Raw genomic sequence first — 17898 nt, forward strand, 5'->3', positions numbered from 1 at the left:
AAGGGAGACGGCCCGGCTAGGCCAACGAGGATTCTCTTGGCTCACTGATTTCCTAGCAACAACAGAGGCAGAAAATTTTACAGAAAGGTGGGAAAAGAAAGGCTATGAAGTAGATTCCAGTACAATTGCCTTTTTCTGATTTTCAAAACTATCAGAGCAAAAATATTCCTAAATTTGTTTCGAGTTTTATAAGTTCAAGCCAGACTTACGGTTTGCATGATAGTCAGTTATCTTTCTGTCATCCTTTAAAAAAAATTTTTTTGTTATGCAAAATTTCAAACATACATAAAAATAAAGAGTATAGTGTAATGCACTTCTGTGAACCCATTGCCTAGGTTTAGCAATGATTAATACATAGAGTCACAGCTTGTCTATCCAATAACACAGAAGTTTAAATTTTTCCTCATTCACAGCACTAGCTCAGCGCTTCAGACCTAGTTGTTGCTCAGTAAATAAATAGATGCTGACTGATTACAAAGCCCTTCCCCTCTCTGGGTCTCAGTTTCCCCATCTGTGCAGTAAAGGGATAGGATTAAGTGCTTTCTTCTTATTATTATTTATTTATTTTTTTTAAGACGGAGTTTCACTCTTGTTGCCCAGGCTGGAGTGCAATGGTACGATCTGGGCTCACCGCAACCTCTGCCTCCTGGGTTCAAGCGATTCTCTTGCCTCAACCTCCTGAGTAGCTGAGATTACAGGCATGTGCCACCATGCCTGGCTAATTTTGTATTTTTAGTAGAGATGGAGTTTCTCCATGTTGGTCAGCTGGTCTCGAACTCCCGACCTCAGGTGATCCGCCCACCTTGGCCTCCCAAAGTGCTGGGATTGCAGGCATGAGCCACCGTGCCCGGCCTAGGTGGTTTTTTTTTGTTGTTGTTGTTTGTTTGTTTGTTTTTGAGACAGAGTCTCGCTCTGTCACCCAGGCTGGAGTGCAGAAGCGCAATCTCTGCTCACTGCAACCTCTGCTTCCCAGATTCAAGTGATTCTTGTGCCTCAGCCTCCTGAGTAGCAGGGACTACAGGTGCGCGCCACCACACCTGGCTACTTTTTGTATGTTTTTTTTTTTTTTTTTTTAGTAGGGATGAGGTTTCGCCATGTTGGCCGTGCTGGTCTTGAACTCCTGGCCTCAAGTGATCCAACCACCTTGGCCTCCCAAAGTGCTGGGATTACAGGCATGAGCCACCGCACCCAACCAGGATTAAGTGCTTTCTAAGAGACATGGTAGTCAAAGTATACACTTGGATGTCAGACACAATTGTTTTTCCATTTATTAGCTAGGTATCTTCAGGCAAGCTGAGTCTCAGTTTTCTCATCTGTAAAGTGGGGATATGACTTCTCAAGGGTGGTTGTAAGCACTGAATAAAGTAGCTGTTTTGTTGCTAATACTTTTATTATTGCTATTTTGAATATTAATATTCTGGTTGGAAGAATCCGTGTATTTCAGAAATGCAAAAATAAAATTGGAATGGACTAGAATTCATGCCCTAGGATTTGGCTTCTTTTTTTGTCCCAGTCAGCAGATAATCAGAAGCCCAAGAAATGAATAGTGCAAGAGGAGGCCCAGAGTGAGGGCCATCCAGGCTGATTTCATCTCCTCTCTTCCCCTGCCCCTGCCGTGTGTGGGTGTCACAGCCCCCACCCCCATGAGAGAGCCCGACTAGCCACCCCCTCCCCTAATGAGACAGGCCCAAGATGGAAGAGCCCACAGGTGGAGAGGGTGGTGCTGCAGGATGTCTCGTTGCTAAGATTTCCGAGGAGGCAGCAAGAGCCTGTTTCCAAAGCTGGGAGGGAATGATGGGCTGATGAGTAGATGTAGGGCATGTGGCCCCAGATGGGGTTTTGTGGGATTCTGGGCAAGGGACAGCAGCTGGGAGAAGGCGCTGGGGGCAGGAGGAGGGTCTTTGTAGAATATGGCCCCTTTCATAGACTGTGGGCTCAGGATTACGTGTTCATTTCTTCCATTTACCTCCTTATCTGTCAATATCAGACCTGCATGTGAATCCTGATTCACTCTATGACCTTTGGCAAGTGTTGTGCTGCTGTACTTGCTGGCCCTCAGTTTTCTCACCAATGGGAGGGCTAAGTGAAACATGTATAATAAAGTGCTCTGTAAAAAGGAAGACAAAGTAGAAATGTGAAGGTTCACTACGACTGTCATCTTTATTATTTTTTTTTTCTTTTACTGTCAGATGAGGGAATGGGACTCTGTTAGGTTTCTATGCATGAATAGGGAGCCCTGGAGGGTACTTCCGCTGTGAGGGCCTGTGTCAGGAGACTGTGGGAATTGGCTAGATGGGCCCCATTAGTGAAACTCCAGGGAACAACTGAAGAGGGCAGCAAAGTTCAAAGCCAGAGAGGCAGCCCAAGGGGGGCTGTGGTTGCTGAAAGGTGGGGGCTCTAGTGAGATTCTAGGAGGGACCTTCAATGGTTCAGGCCAGAAGCTTTGAGAGAGGTGAAGGTAACAGACCTTTCTTATATAAATATGTTTACACATATATACCAGAAAGTAAGCAACAAAACAAGACCCAAATGTACACAAAAGAAATAATTCCACTATCATAAAACAACGTCTGGTAACATGTTTTAAAATATTTCCTGTTTGCTTTTTTCTAGGCATGTACACATACATACATATTTTATAGAAATTGGGGCCAGGCACGGTGGCTCACGCCTATAATCCCAGCACTTTGGGAGGCTGACGTGGACAGATCACTTGAGGTCAGGAGTTCGAGACCAGCCTGGCCAACATGGTGAAACCCTGTCTCTTCTAAAAATACAAAAATTAACCAGGCGTGGTGGCGGGGCACCTGTAATCCCAATTACTCGGGAGGCTGAGGTGGGAGAATTGCTTGAACCCAGGAGGCGGAGGTTGCAGTGAGCCGAGATCATGCCACTGCACTTCAGCCTGGGCAATAGAGCAAAAACTCCATCTCAAAAAAAAAAAAAAAGAAAAGAAAAAAGAACAAAAAACGTATTTTGTAGAAATTGGATCATTTGTTACGTACCATTTTGTCTCTGCTTTTTTACCTGTATTGTGTTAAGAACATGATTATATAGCCACATATAGATCCACAACATTATTTTGTGTGGCTGCGTAGTATTTCAGCATATGTATGTATCACTATTTTTATAACGTAGCCACTATTATTGGACATATATATTAACTCCAATGCTCTACTTTACTCCTGTATACAGTGCTTAGACAAATGTTCTTATAGCCACATCTTTGTGTCATTCATTGTTCCCTAAGGATCCATTCCTAAAAAAGGAATTTCTGCGTTAAACGGTATGCACACTTTTAAGGCTTATCATGTACTTTTTCAACGATGAAAGATGAAACCAGTTGATAGCTGCATTGACACTGTCTGAATCTGCCCAATTTATTGGCGGCTCATTATCTTAATAACCCGGCAGCGGTAGCTTAGTGGGTGGGAGGCTCACTTGCACGGATTGGGCGGAGGGAGGCATCAATAGCCACTCTAAAAGGACTTTGCAAAGAGAGGCCCCTGGGTGGCCTGATGGGGCTGGGTTGGACTGTGTTGAAGGGGCTTACCTGCCCGGGCTGTGCTGTGCTGTGCTGTGTTGGCCCGACTGTATTGGTTATGGGAGGCTGTGCTGGGCAGTTGGGCTGGGTTGGCTGCACTGGCTCAGGCCTGGCAGTCTTGTCCCTGGTGTGATCCTGGGCTCAGCCTGGTGTGATCAGCGTAGTCACCAATCCAAGACATTCATTCTAGAAGCTGGCATGGCCTCCGTGGCCATGCTGACAGACTTGTCCATTCACGTAGTGGAGAGTGATTCATCAGAGCTGGTGGTGGCAGCAGTAACTCTGACAGAGTGGAACTGCTCTCACCATCCTGTCACTTGGCCTCTAAAAATAACTCCTGCCGGTTCCGAGTGACCGCACCGCCAGGTGTCTGGAGGTGCAGTCCTGTGGTTGTGGCTATGTGAGGGAGGGTGTGTTTGTGTGTGTGTGTGTGTGTGTGTGTGTGTGTGTGTGTGTGTGTGTTGGGGATAGAGGTGCCATCTGGGGGCCTCTTGATTGGTTGACCTCTGAGCCAGGGCTTTGGGGTGGGAGTATGAGAGGCAGACCAGGCTCGCTCTTTTCTACCCTCTCATAGCTGGGGACAGAGACAGCTAGTGGGGGTAGCAGTATTTTTCAGGACTGTGTGCTCACTCCCTGCTGAAAAAGGGCAGAGAGAGTGGAATGGAGAGGGTGACTTCAGAGGCAATATGACAAGGGTGAGGCAGGCTCTGGGGAAGCACAGCATTTAGCCAATCAACATCTATGTCCCACAAAAGCCCACATAAAAGCTCATCGTCTTAGTGAAGTCTTTAATGTAGGGTTCCTTTAAATTAGATACAAAATACAAAATACACACATATACAGCTAATTTCTTATCGTGGCTGATTAGAGATCATCTAGCCCAAGTCTTAACCAAGGGGATTATCTATCTATCACTCAGGGGGTGATCTATGCATGGGCTTCATGAGCTCTCTTGATACCTGAAAGATGATAAAGGTAGGTATGTGTGTGTGTGAGTGTGACTTTGTGTGTGTGTATGTGTGTGCAGGTGCATACCCATGTACATTTTTCTAGGAGAAGCTCTGCAGTTTTCATTGCATTTTCAAAGGAAATCAGGACCGATAAAAGGTTTTCTTTTTCTTTTTCTTTTTTTTTCTTTTTTCTTTTTTTTGAGACAGTGTCTCGCTCTGTTGCCCAGGCTGGAGTGCAGTGGCGCGATTTTGGCTCACTGCAACCTCTGCCTCCCGGGTTCAAGTGATTCTCCTGCCTCAGCCTCCCAAGTAGCTGGGACTACAGGCGCACGCCACCATCCCTGGCTAATTTTTGTATTTTTAGTAGAGATGGGGTTTCACCATGTTGGCCAGGCTAGTCTCAAACTCCTGACCTCAGGTGATCTGCCCGCCTCGGCCTCCCAGAGTGTAAGAATTACAGGCGTCAGCCACTGCGCCCAGCCCCCTAAAAGGTTTAGAACTGCGCTAGTCCAACCCCCTCATATTACAGGTAAGGAAATTGAATTCAGAGAGGAAAATGACTGCCCAAGATCTCACAGCAAAGGTCAAATCAAGGTTTCTTGATGCCCAGCCCAGCGCCCTCTGCCACACAGGACGCCACCCTCCCCTGCCTGGTTCCTTGAGCCAGGGTCTAGCTACCTACAGTAGGCAGGATCACAGTACCATTTTCCATACCCTCTTGGCTGGCATGGATCCAACTGAACAGGCTTGAGGCTTTCAATCACAGTGGGCAGCTGAGCCCTCACCTCCAGACCTTCCCACTCCCAGGGGAAAACCCATGGGGCATCTCCTGACTCATTCCTTTAGAGGGCATCTTTGCCCAGGACAGTTAAATCTGTCTGTTGACATTCTTATCCTGGTGGGACACTCTCTGATACAGGAAGTGCCTCTGCCTTGTGGGAAAGGAACTGACCCTCGGGTCCTGGAGGACAGGAAATAGAATGGCTGAGTGGGCCTGGGAATATTATATGATGGAAAGGCAGGAGGTCATAGCTAGTGGCAAGAGACAGATGCTGTCTCATTGTATATGGGAGGAATTAAACTGCCATAGGAGTGAATAATAGGACTGATAAGTAACATTTATTGAATACTTACTATAAGTTAGACACTCTTCTAAGATATTTACATGTATTAGCTCCATTAATCCTTATAATAACTCCATATGGTTATTATAAGGAAACTGAGGCACAAATAGATTAAGCACATCTAGGAAACAACTGAGCCAGGATATGAAGTCAGGTCCTCTGACTCCAGAGTATACATCACTCTGGAGCCAAAGTGTAGGCTCCTAGCCTCTATGCTGGCAGACCTGAAACTCCAGTGTGCGTTAGAATCACAGGAGGGCTGATGAAAGCACTGTTGCTGTTCCAAACCTCCTAGTTTCTGACTCAGTAGGTCTGTGTGGGGCCTGAGGATTTGTGTACTTAAGAGTTCCCAGATAAGGCTGGGTGCGGTGGATCACGAGGTCAGGAGTTCAAGACCAGCCTGGACAAGATGATGAAACCCCCGTCTCTACTAAAAATACAAAAAAATTAGCCGGTTGTGGTGGTGGGTGCCTGTAATCCCAGCTACTTGGGAGGCTGAGGCGGAGAATTGCTTGAACCTGGGAGGTGAAGGTTGCAGTGAGCTGAGATTGCGATCACACCACTGCACTCCAGCCTGGGCGACAGAGGGAGACTCCATCTCAAAAAAAAAAAAAAAAAAAGAGTTCCCAGATATTGCTGGTGTTCCAGGGACCACACTTTAGAATCATCCCTGTTTCCTGATAGGAAGAGATGAACAGAGGGAAAAGAAGTGGTGACTGATCTCACCTGGATTATTGCAATGTCCCACTGTGGTTCCAGGCTTCTCCTTCACTCCGGTCACTGAGTCTTCACCAGGAGCAAATTAATTTTCCTAAAGCCCAGCTCTAATTATGCCTCTGCTCAAAGCTCTCTGGATCCTCTGACACTATCCACCATTGCTGTCCACTAGAAATGTCTGTAGTGATGAAATGTTCTACATCTGCACCGTCCAGTATGGTAACCACTAACCACATGTGGCTATGAGTTTTACATTTTGTTCCATTAAATTTAAATTTAAATAATCACATTTGGCCAGTTGCTAGACAGTGCAGTGCACTTGGTTTGTCATTCAAGGCTCTGCTTGGCACCAGCTCCTTTCTATCTCCTCAGGGATAGCCTCAACCCTCAGTATCCCAGGCTCCAGGTCATATGCAGCGTTTCCTGATTCTACCTTGTAATTCCCAGCACTATGGCTTGTGTTATGCTCTCTCCTCAGTCTACATTGTCCTTCTGCCCTGCCTTTAATGCCCAACCCACATATGACCTCTTCCTCGAAACCTCCTTTGACACCTGCTGCTCTCTAATCTTTTTCTCCTCTGAACTCCCCAACACTCTGTCCTCTTCTTACAACCTTTAGTGCTTTCTGTTTTACATTGCAGTTGGCTGGTGTGGGTACTTTCTCTTACTAAACTGTGAGCTTTTGGAGGATGTGACTGTTTTCTGTAGAGAGCTCTTGCTTCCTACTGTAGGTCCCTCCAGGTACACAGAGGAGTTCGACAAATCCCACAAACCTTTGTACTGGCACACTGGGGATACAGAGATCGGTACCATAACTTCCCTGTCCTCAAGCTGCTCACAGGCTTCTACGAGAGTCTGATTCATGCCCAGAGAACCACTGAAGCCAATGGTTATTTTAGGCAGGGAGATAAAAGCCACAGAGGGCCCAGTTGGCGAGGGGAGTCCGGCAGGAGCTGCCTAAGCAGAAGGCTGTGTTTACATACACAGACGACTTCTCTGCCCAGCCTGGCCTAGTGTGGGGAGATGGGAACATTCAGGCGTCACTGCCTGGCTGCCTTGTGAAGTTGCGGATTAACCAGTGATGCAGCGGCTGGTCTAGCCGTCTGGTCCCTGCAGATGGATGGATGAAGAGAGGACTGAAAAGACAGCAGAGCAGTGCCAGCTTCTGGAAGTGAAGTGCTGGCTGGGTGGAGTGGGCACCTGGGCTGGGAATGTGAGTGCAAGGAAATGTTTGTGATCTGACAGCAGACAGCAGGTGAAATTCTGCTGGGTCTGGCTTGGGGGGTTATGAGGTCTTCATAACAGTCCCTGTTTTAAATGGAAAAACTGTTGAAAAGAAAAAAAAAAAAAGGAGGTCAGGTGCAGTGGGTCATGCCTGTTATCCCAGCACTGTGGGAGGCCAAGGTGAGTAGAACACTTGAGCTCAGGAGTTTGAGACCAGCCTAGGCAACATGGCAAAACCCTATCTCTACAAAAAATATAAAAATTAGCAGTGCATGGTGGTGTACACCTGTAGTCCCAGCTACTTAGGGGGCTGAGGTAGGAGGATTACCTCAGCCCGGGGAAGTTGAGGCTGCAGTGAACCATGATCACACCACTGCACTCCAGCATGGGCGACAGAGTGAGACCCTGTCTCAAAACAATAATAACAGCAACAACAAAACAGAGGAAAAAAAGATAGAAACAGCTTTCTGGCTTTAGACTCTAATCCTAAGAGTATTTTACATCCTGAAAATCTCTAGCATATATTCATCTCTGGGACAAAAACATTAAAAAAAGGAAACTTTATTGATGTTATAACATAAACACAGAAAAGTGCACAGATCATAAGTTTACACATACTTGTGTAACTACCCCCCAGACATGAACAGAATATGTCAGTATCTCCAGAATAAACCTGTGTGAAGCCCAATGTGTGTAGGATTAATGATAGAACAAACACAGGCCTTGGAGTCAGGCATGCCTGGGGTTGAATCCTGGGCCCCTGCACCTACTAGCAGTGTGACCTTGGATGAGTGATTTAACTTCAGTTTCCTCCCCTGTAAAATCAAGGTGGATCTATAATGTCTGCCTTACAGGGAAGTAGGAGATTTAAAATTGAAAATATAGGCAAGTTGCTAGGCACAGTGCCAGCACATAAGTGGGGACTCAGATGCTCTCTGCAATGGCGATGTTAATTGATGGTGATGCTGCAGCACCTTCTGGCACCTGGGACCAGGGACACACACACAGCTTTTCTCCTGTTGCCTCTCACTGCTCCCAGCCTCTGTATGATACTCTCCAGCTCTCTTCTGACTGCAAGGAATTAGAGATGCTGTGATGATGCAAACCTCAGCTGACACTTCAGGCACCCGACGGGAGGCTGGGTGGACATCTGTATCTAGTGGGTACATGGCCAGATTTTTCATGTTCTGGCCTCAGGAATGTGGCTCCCAGACCTCCTAGAGGGGCTGATTTCCCAAGAAGCAGCTGGAAGCATGGGGACCTATTAAGAAACATAGCCGAGGTGGAGATAAGGCAGAACTCAGCCTCAGGAGTGTCCTGGCATCCTGGGTGGACTCCTGACTCCTACTTGCTCCCTGGCCTCTGGCTTTCGGTGTGAAGATGGCCAACACATACTATGCACATATTGTGAACTGGGCACTGATGTGGGCCTTCAGGGGTGTGTGTGGGCGGAGGGAAGGGAGTATGATGAAAAGTGGCCATTATCCTAAAGCTCATAGTGCAATGGAAGTTTAAAACCCTTGGACAGGTCACATGACCCTGAACTTGAGGGTGGCAGGACGGAGACAGAGAGGCCAAGAGGTTATTTCTAGCCAGAGGAGTTGGTGCAAAGAGGAAGGGTTCAGGAACGACTTCCTGGAGAATGCCTAGAAGAATAACTATGGGAAATGGGAAGAGGGTCTCCCAGGCAGAGAAGAGGGCACAGCCACTGTGCCCTGGGGACCTGGAACCAGTCAGTTTGACAAAGCTCATCACATGGAATCTGAGAATGAGGCTGAAGAGCCAGGTGAGACCAGGCTGTGGAAGGTCTTGAGAGTCGGGCTGAGGTATTTGAGTTGCTTCATCAGAGAATGAGGAGCCACTGAAGCTTCTTCCATTGAGGAAGCAGAGCCAGACCAGATCCTCTTACTGTGCTCTGTGGAGACCAGCATTGTTTTTAGCCAAAGATGGCAATCAGTTGTCCAAGCCACTGGAGCGGTCTGTGAGAGCCTCTGGGATGCCCAGACATGTACAGGGGGCTTGGCTGTGGGTATAGAAGAGGAAGAGGGGCATGGACCAGAGCTGAGGTTCCCAGCTTTGAGAAATGACAGTCTTACTGGAGACGTTGGAGAGCCTCATGACAACGGAGCCCCAAATTCAAAAGTAGAGGCAAGGATGAGATGAGGGTCCAGTAGGCAGAGAAGAAGAAACTGGCTGGGGGAGCATGCGGGGCGGAGATGGGGCCAGGCTTTCTGGAAGGGAGGCAACCTTCAGAATGGGCAGGCTTTGGAGACACTGAGGGTACTGAGGGGCACCCTAGTGGGGTCCATCTGAGGTGCAGAAGGGAGCTTGGAGCATGCCAGCACCAAACAGAGCCTTTGTGGGCATTCTTGCATGTCATTCTCATAGCTCTGGAAGACGGTGCTGATATTATCCCCATTGTACAGATGGGGCAACTGAGGCTCAGAGAGGCTAAGGCCTTGCTCAAGGTCATGCAGCTCCTGTGCTAATAAATGTCCCCCATCCCTGCCCCAGCCCCTTTGCCAGAGGTGAACATTGCCCTTAGGCTGTTCAACAACACTACACTAGATACGTATGGAAAAGTGCTTTGTATACTGTGACCTGCTATGCAGTTTGCAGGCATCCTCATCATTCCACACTAGAATAAGGCTTAACGCAGGAGGGTGTGGTTCCCACGGTCTGGGCTGGATGGAAGGTTACAGGGAAGGGTAAGGTCTCTGGGAACTGCAGTGCTTTGAGAGGCTTCTTAGAGAAGATGGAGAAGAGGAAGTAGGGGGCAGCTGGAGGGGGGAGGTCCCTGCAAGGTGGGCACTGCCACCTGTCCACCCTGCCTACTTCCTCCACCCAGACACAGCTGCCCTGTGGTGCCCTCTGCAGAGTGCCAACCTCAGTGAAACAGCCTGCCAGGCAGCACTTCCCAGAATGGTGGGTCATGCTGCTCTGTTAAGTTTGGCTCCGCTAGCTCCCTCCCTCTGGCCCAGCTCCCAGTGGCCTGGGGCTGTCACTGGGCCCGGCTGCCCTCCCGGGCAGGAGCCAGCTGCCCTCCAGCTCTCTTGTCCTGGAACACCCTCCTCCCCATGACCTCACCTTTAACCCAGCTTGGCTTAGTGTCTTCTCCTCCAGGAAGCCTTTTCTGATCCCTATGGGCTGAGTTAGGACCCCAGAGTATCTAAACCTGTACTGACCAAAAGAAATATAATGTGAGCCACACGTGCAAGCCACACGCAATTTTAAATTTTCTAGTAGCCACATTTTTTAAAAAAGTCAAAAGAAACAGATGTAATTATTCAAATGATTTGTTTTATTTAACCCAATACATTCATAAGGTTTTTTTGTTTTTTTTTTTTTTGAGACGGAGTTTCGCTCTTGTCCCCCAGGCTGGAGTGCAATAGCACGATCTCAGCTTACTACAACTTCCGCCTCTTGGGTTCAAGCAATTATTCTCCTGCCTCAGCCTCTGGAGTAGCTGGGATTATAGGCACATGCCACCATGCCCGGCTAATTTTTGTATTTTTAGTAGAGATGGGGTTTTACCATGTTGGCCAGGCTGGTCTCGAACTCCTGACCTCAGGTAATCCGCCCACCTCGGCCTCCCAAAGTGCTGGGATTACAGGTGTGAGCCATGCCCGAGACATATTACATTCTTTTTGGTATGAAATCTTCAAAATCTGATTTTTATATTTACAGCACATTTTTATTTGAACGAGCCACATTTCAAGTGCTCCATAGCAACTAGCCATGGCTAGTAGCTACCATATTGGTTAGCACAGACCTAAAAACAGGGAGTTTATAAGGGTTGAAGCTCAGAGTTTGGCACCAGACATACCTGTCAGTCATATTCCGACCCTGCCATTTATTAGCTGGATGAACTTTGGGGTCGCTAACCCTTCTGAGCCTCAGTTACTTCAGCTGTGAAAGGGATTAATAATTTCAGTGCCAGAGAATTGCTTTGAGGATTAAACAAATGAATGTGTGTCCAGTGCCAGGCACAGAGGAAGTGCTCAGAAAATGGTGGTGCTTCACCTTCTAGTATCCTCTGATGTGCTGGGGTACGTGCCTCCACTAGATTGATTGTGAATTCAAGGGCAGAGGCTGTATTCAATTCCTCCAGCCTTCCCCAGTGTCCAGGGCCTGGCTTGGTGTGAGCATTACTGCTTGCTGAATGAAAGATTAAGTCCTTGGGCTGGGAGTGCTCCCCACCCCACCCTGCTTGCCCAGTAGTCAAGGGCCCTGGTGGCTGGGAGTCAGGAGACCACTGACTACTTGTGGGTGACCTTGGCAAGTCACTGCTTTGCTTAGAACCTTGGTTTCCTCCTTTGAAAGATAAAAGGGAGATAGGAGGGGCCCTGCCTGAAGTGTTTGGTTGAATCTCTGCCCCGCAGTGACCTTGGGGGTCTGTGGCTGACTCTGTGTCCCTTGCTTTCCCAGCCAGTGGAGCGAATCACTTCCGTTCTCCTCCTGGCTTTCCTGTATCCTGGACTTTTGCACCATTAAGTTCCATCCAGTTAAAATTTAAGAGGAAAGAATTTCTCCTGCCTCCTAGACAGAGCAGAGAGGGAATGAAGGGTCCTGTCCCTTCTCTTCTGCCAGCATCTGCTGACCTCCCATCACAGCAGCCCAGTGACAGACATGGGGCAGGGATTCTCCCATTTTATAGGTGAGAAAATTGAGGCTCAGAGATGTCAAATAACCTGCCTAAGTAATACAAAAAGAAATGGTAGCGCTAGGGCTGGAAGCAGAATTTGCAGCTAAGGAACTGAGGAACCCCTTTTTTGGATGGGCTCCTCTTTCCTTCTTTCTCCATGAGACTTGGTCCTAGGTTGAGTCCTATCCCTGTGCCTCAGTTTCCCTGCCTGGGGAATGAAAACAGTCAAGTAACTCAAGTAGTAATTGCAACTGATGCCTATGGGGGCCATACATTCTTAAGTGTCTCTCCTGCTTCCTCCAGCCTGATTTTTCTGGAAAGGGTTATTGTTGGGTAAAGTGGAAAGTATGTAGTCCAGGGAGCCAGTGTAACTGTGTAAGCGTAACCTTGGGCAAGTCACTCCCACTCTGAGCCTCAGCCTGCCTATTTATAAGATGGGGGCCGGGCGCGGTGGCTCACGCCTGTAATCCCAGCACTTTGGGAGGCCGAGGCGGGCGGATCACGAGGTCAGGAGATCGAGACCATCCTGGCTAACATGGTGAAACCCCATCTCTACTAAAAATGCAAAAAAAAATTAGCTGGGCATGGTGGTGGCAGGCGCCTGTAGTCCCAGCTACTCGGGAGGCTGAGGCAGGAGAATGGCGTGAACCCGAGAGGCGGAGCTTGCAGTGAGCCGAGATCGCGCCACTGCACTCCAGCCTGGGCAACAGAGCGAGACTCCGTCTCAAAAAAGAAAAAAAAAAAGATGAGGGATGATATTATCTCACAAGATGCTGTGCAGATGACACACAAAAGTATTTTGCAAACTGGAAAGTGCTAATAGAAATGTTAGTGAATAATAATAATAATCAAAATAATTAAAATAGCAGAAGCCTCATTTTCTGTGTGGTCTCAATGACCTGAAGTGAATTGAGCCCTTTGGGTATAAATGCAGAACGATGTCTGGGAACATCCTGCCTCGGTCTTTGGAGTGTAGCCTGGATTCTCCTGGGAAAGTGAGAGGCTCCATCTGGTTGAGGAGGGTGGGAAAGTGGCCCTGCCCCAGGGGAGGAGTGGGGAGGGCTTCAGCCTGGGGGAAGGAAGGAAAGGGAGATGGCCAGGGAAGGAGAGTTGAACTAAGAGGAACAGAGAGAGCCTTGGCCATGCAGCCCAGAGCCTCCTGCCCACGGGAGCCCACGATTGGGAAGGCTCAGCCAGCAGGGGAGACTGAGCCTATTTGGAATCAAAATACTTGAAGGCAGGCAGTCAAGAATCTCTTAGCAGCTGTGCATCTGAAACAATAAATGCATCTGGTATAACTCCTGAGTTTTATTGGTCCTTTCACTCATTCATTTAAATAAATGTGTGGTGAGCTAAACTCAAACAGAGCACCTTGTGTGGCAAAGTGACTTGCCCAAGGCCACGGCCCCAGGGGCCTGTGTGAGACTCCCTTGGGAGCTCCTGGGAAAAAGTGAATTTGAAAGGCCTGGGGATGAGAAGTCCAAAGGCAAAGGACAGGATTTGTACAGAAGGCTGCCAAGCAGGACACTCGTCCTTCTGTCAGTCGGCCTGGGCAGATTTGTCTGTCTTCCCACCTTCTGTCTGGAGGGTGGGCCTGTTCTCTAGGACTGGGAGAAGCTGGCTTCATTCTGCTCTCTGCTCTTCATCCGCTGCTGAACCTGGTGAGCAGGGGGAGTGAAGGCACCGGAAGCTTTGTCTAAAGACACCTGATGAAGGAGGTTTAAGTTGGAGAAGAGAAGGCTTGCTTTGGGCATGGTACAAAGGGACGCAATTGTATCTTGAGTTCTCTAAAGGGTGCTGAGGAGAGGGCATAGCCTCATTCTTTGGAGGCCCTAGAGTGCCTATGAGGACCCAGGGTAGAAGGTCACCATGATGGAGCAGCACACTGGGAGGGAGGAGTTGGGGGAGGGAGGTGCCTGGCTCTATAGTGTGTGACAAGCAGAGATGGAGAGCCCACTGGTGAGGCTGATACTGAGGGAATCGCATCAGGGAAGGATGGAGGGCTCAGCTCACATCGAGGCTGCTTCCCAGCTTGGGGCCTCTGTGCTTCCCAGGGCAGTGGATTCTGTGGTAAGAACTATGGCCAGCACATGGTAGGTACTTAGGAATGATGTGAAGAATGAATGAATAGTTGTGTATGCCTGGAGGTGAGGGTGGTGACTGGGGGTTCGCGGTCATATGGGTTGCAGTGGACCCATGGACAGAAATCTTTGGAGATCATGCTGCGGTTACCCACCATTCTCTCTATGCCTTCGCCATGAACTAGGGACCCTAGAGATAGGAACGTCCAGCCCTTTCGTCATTTGCAAATGAGGCCCAGAGCATGGAACAACTTGCCCAAGGGTACTTGCTGAGCCAGTGGCAGACCTGGACTGGAACCCAGGCCCTCTCCCTCCCAGAGTCCTCTGTGGCTTGAGGTCCCCACCTTCGGATTGTGTGAGATGGAGGTGCTGCAGTGGTTGGACTGGTTTTTTTAGTGGGTAACAGTGCTCCTGGAGGGGAGGAGCATGGCTTACCTTGGTTTTGAGCCATGATCTCTGCCACAAGCTGCTTGGCCAGCCCCTGCCCTTTCCTGGAGCTCAGGTGCACACTCAGCCTGTGCTCAGACACATACAGCAAGTGCGCCTGTACACAGGCCCCATCCCCAATAGGTCCCTGGGCTCTCACTGTTACACTTACTGTCATTGTCACCAAGGCGCATGTGGACAAATGTACACATAGACACCCTCTGGACACACTCAGAGGCACAGAGGATTCCCAGGAGACAGTTGTAATACCTCCTCCCGGTGGGGGAGGACGCCGAGTCCTAGGCGGGTTCTGCCCTGTCGCTGTGCTGCAGGGGTGGTGAGGGGATCCGGCTCCGGTGGGATGGGAGGCCCACTGAGGCTGAGTCACCCCTTCTGAGTCAGGCATGCATCCCCCTCTTCTCTCCTCCCCCTCCCTTTCTCGCTGATGAGCCCCCAAGAGGGCTTGGCGAGAGCAAGGAGGCCCGGGGCTGGCTAGGACCAGGGTGGGGGCAGCCGGGGCGCTCGAGAGGCCCCCCAGCTGCACAGTCCCGCAGTGGTCTGGGAACTGCCCGTGTGGCACGGACCGGGAGGAGGTGGCCTGGGAGCCTGAGAGAGAGGGCGGGGCGCGGGGGGAGGTGGGTGGTAGAGGAGACAGGCAGAGAGGAGGCGGAGGCAGGGGCAGGGCCGCGGCGCGCTGGGAGGCAGGCGCAAGCGGCGGCCGCCCCTGGGCTGGGCTCCGAGGCCGGGGCGGGGGCGGGGGCTGGCCGCGCGTCGGGCGCCAGGCCCGGGGCTGTGGGCACCGTGCCCAGCCCCTGGCGCACGCCGAGCCGCCGCCGCCGCCGCCGCTGCTGCAGTCGGCATCCATCAGCGGGCGGGGGTGTCGCCGAACAGGCTGCTCCGCAGAGCCCGCCGCGACCCCGCGCCGCCCCGCCCCGCGGCCTGCCTGCCAGAGGAGCCGAGGGGGCCGCCCCTCGCCCAACCTGCCCGACATGGGGAACCCCGGGCCCAGGTAGGCACATGGGGGAATCAGGTGGCTCTCGGGGCCGGGGGCTTGCAACATCTAGGCCCAGCCTCCAGCCCTGGGGAGGAACGGGGGCGAGGCCGAGAACTGAGTTTTCAGGCTGTTGGTCCCCTGGCCAGTGTGGGGGAGGGTCTCGCTGTTCCTCCCTACCTACCGGTCTGCAGCCTCCTCCAAGGCCTGGAGAGAGGATCCGGAGGCTGGGGGTTGGCGGGGGGTTGGTCCTGCTGTAGGATGAGCGGTGGGTGGGCGCTGGGCTCCCACCGGCTGGCCCAGTCTCTTTTCGGAGAGCACTCCTGCTGCCGCCTCCAGAGGCCAAGGGCTCTTTGGATTTCTGCTGCTTCTGACGCTGCAGGAGGAGTTCTTGGCTGGAGCCTGGGATGCTGGCGAGCCCTTGCCCTCATCTCTCCTCACTCTGGTTACGGACCCTTCCCCGCTCTGGGCTTGCCTCCCCTTCCGTCTCCCTTCCAAGTACCTCAGAGCTGCTAGGAGGGATCTTAGCCCTAGGACTTCTGCAGTTCTGGCCTGGCATTGTCCTGGCCAGTGACCGTCCCCTGATCAGAGGGAGAGGGCTTGTGTGTCCCACTTGTGTCTGGCACCTTCACACTTGGGGAGGTCCAAGGGCCCGAGAGGCTGGGGTCTCAGGGATGGGCATGGGGGGCCAATGTCTACAGCCATTGGGGTACTTACTGGGTGCAGAGGCCACTGACTGGCAGACGTATATGGCTCAAAGTGGTCCATGGAGACCTTGAAGTCTGGACAAGGACCAAAAGGGAGTTCTGGGGATGCTGGTCTCTCCCTCAGCTGCCAGCCATCGTCGTTGCTTTTCCCTCGGAGCTCTGAGGATGCATTGGTGGGGGAGAGAGCACCACGTGTTCCCACATTCACTTCTGGATCCGCATAGCACCTCCTCTGCACCCAAAGGTGGGAATGTGAGACGGCCAGATTTAGGACCTCTCCAGGGCTGTGCGGGGTCCAGCGGCTTGGCTTCATTCCCACCCCATCCCCCCACCCTCAGCATTAGGAGCCTTCCAGAATCAGTGGCACTTGAGCCAGGTCAAGATCTGGGGCCTGGATGGTGCCCTCCGCAGCTCTTGGAAGACAGTGCCTCCTGTCCCGGGCAAGGGTGTGGAGAATAGAGGCAGCTGTGTGCCTCTCTGCCCACCCATTCCTCCAGATGGAGCCTGCGGCAGAGGCAGCCTGTGCCAGCCTCCCCTATGAGCCACCGTGGCCCAGGAAGGCTCTGCCAGCTCTGTGCAAGGATGGAGCTGGCTTCTCCTGGCCAGCCTGAGGTCATGCCTGCCTGGCAACCCAGGCATAGTATTTATGGCATGCAGAGCACAGTCCCTGGGATTTCAGGGGCACCTCAAGGCAGTCCTGGAGGAGATCAGTGCAGAGGGCATTGTTCCTATTAAAGCCCTTCCTGGGCTATGTGACAGTCCTCCTGGGCTCAGCCCTGTGAGCTTCTTGAAGAGCTTCTTCCATAGAATCCTGCATGAAAACAATGCTTGGTCAGGTAGTCCTCACTCAGTCGATATTGAAAGGTTGAACGGGGCCTAGAGAGTAAGAGTGACTTGGCCAAGGTCACAAAGCAGCTGAGCGGGGGAGTCAGCATTAATGTACCCAGGTCTTCCACCTCTTGTTCTGGGGCTCTTGCAGCTCAGGTGCTGGCTTCCCTGCTGCGGTGGTTGTGCTATAGACAGGACTCTGCCAAGGGCTAGGCATTGTAGCCTGGAGCCTGAGGCTACCTGATCCCTTAGGAGGGGTGTTATGTTGGCCTCCCAGCCCTTGCCCTCAGTAGGTGAGCAGGAGAGGTCAGGGCTGAGAGAAAGGGCCGTGGGTGGTCCTGGACCCTCTTGGAAGTGCATAGAGCTGAGAGGATGCCAGGTGCCCAGGGATGTTCTGGCCTGAGCCTCCAGGGGGCAACAGAGAGTTTTCTGACTTCAGGCTGTGGTGGGAGGTGCTTGTTAGCACCTGCCGGGACTTCCCTAAGAGCCCCTTTCTGGGCTTCTCTGTCCCATTTGTTAAAAGGGGACACAGGCGTGCGCCATTGCGCACGCCTGTAATCCCAGCACTTTGGGAGGACGAGGCGGGCAGATCACAAGTTCAAGAGATGAAGACCATCCTGGCCAACATGGTGAAACCCCGTCTCTACTAAAAATACAAAAA

The 17898-nt window shown here is 51.0% G+C and overlaps 1 protein-coding gene and 2 long non-coding RNA genes across 55 annotated transcripts in view, besides 2 other annotated features; 1 reads left to right on the top strand and 2 right to left on the bottom strand.

Moving 5' to 3' along the window:
- EPB41L1 (erythrocyte membrane protein band 4.1 like 1) overlaps nt 1-17898 on the top strand; it is a 141386-nt gene that overhangs the window by 47763 nt on the left and 75725 nt on the right. For 40 of the 53 annotated variants that reach the window (NM_001433605.1, NM_012156.2, XM_047439966.1 and 37 more), the window contains exon 1: nt 15564-15720. The exons of the other annotated variants lie outside the window; for them this stretch is intronic. The gene's annotated coding sequence lies outside the window, so the exon portion shown is untranslated. Of the gene's footprint in view, nt 1-15563; nt 15721-17898 lie in introns of those variants that run through there. 53 annotated transcript variants of the gene reach the window in all.
- Nucleotides 4039-4088: a silencer, noted in NCBI's record as "silent region_12869". NCBI's record gives its function as "represses an Ori minimal core promoter by ATAC-STARR-seq in GM12878 lymphoblastoid cells {active_cell/tissue: GM12878}" and the evidence as "EXISTENCE:reporter gene assay evidence [ECO:0000049][PMID:35858748]".
- Nucleotides 8105-16584, bottom strand: EPB41L1-AS1 (EPB41L1 antisense RNA 1). Its single transcript, NR_147703.1, has 4 exons — nt 16420-16584; nt 15887-16078; nt 10647-10734; nt 8105-9582 (listed from the first exon to the last, which is right to left on the bottom strand). It is a non-coding gene; the product is annotated as an EPB41L1 antisense RNA 1 (long non-coding RNA).
- LOC124904893 (uncharacterized) lies at nt 13493-15270 on the bottom strand. Its single transcript, XR_007067572.1, has 2 exons — nt 14721-15270; nt 13493-13910 (listed from the first exon to the last, which is right to left on the bottom strand). It is a non-coding gene; the product is annotated as an uncharacterized LOC124904893 (long non-coding RNA).
- Nucleotides 15303-15502: a silencer, noted in NCBI's record as "silent region_12870". NCBI's record gives its function as "represses an Ori minimal core promoter by ATAC-STARR-seq in GM12878 lymphoblastoid cells {active_cell/tissue: GM12878}" and the evidence as "EXISTENCE:reporter gene assay evidence [ECO:0000049][PMID:35858748]".

Source organism: Homo sapiens, chromosome 20 (genome assembly GCF_000001405.40).
Source record: "Homo sapiens chromosome 20, GRCh38.p14 Primary Assembly".
Taxonomy (NCBI): Eukaryota; Metazoa; Chordata; class Mammalia; order Primates; family Hominidae; genus Homo; species Homo sapiens.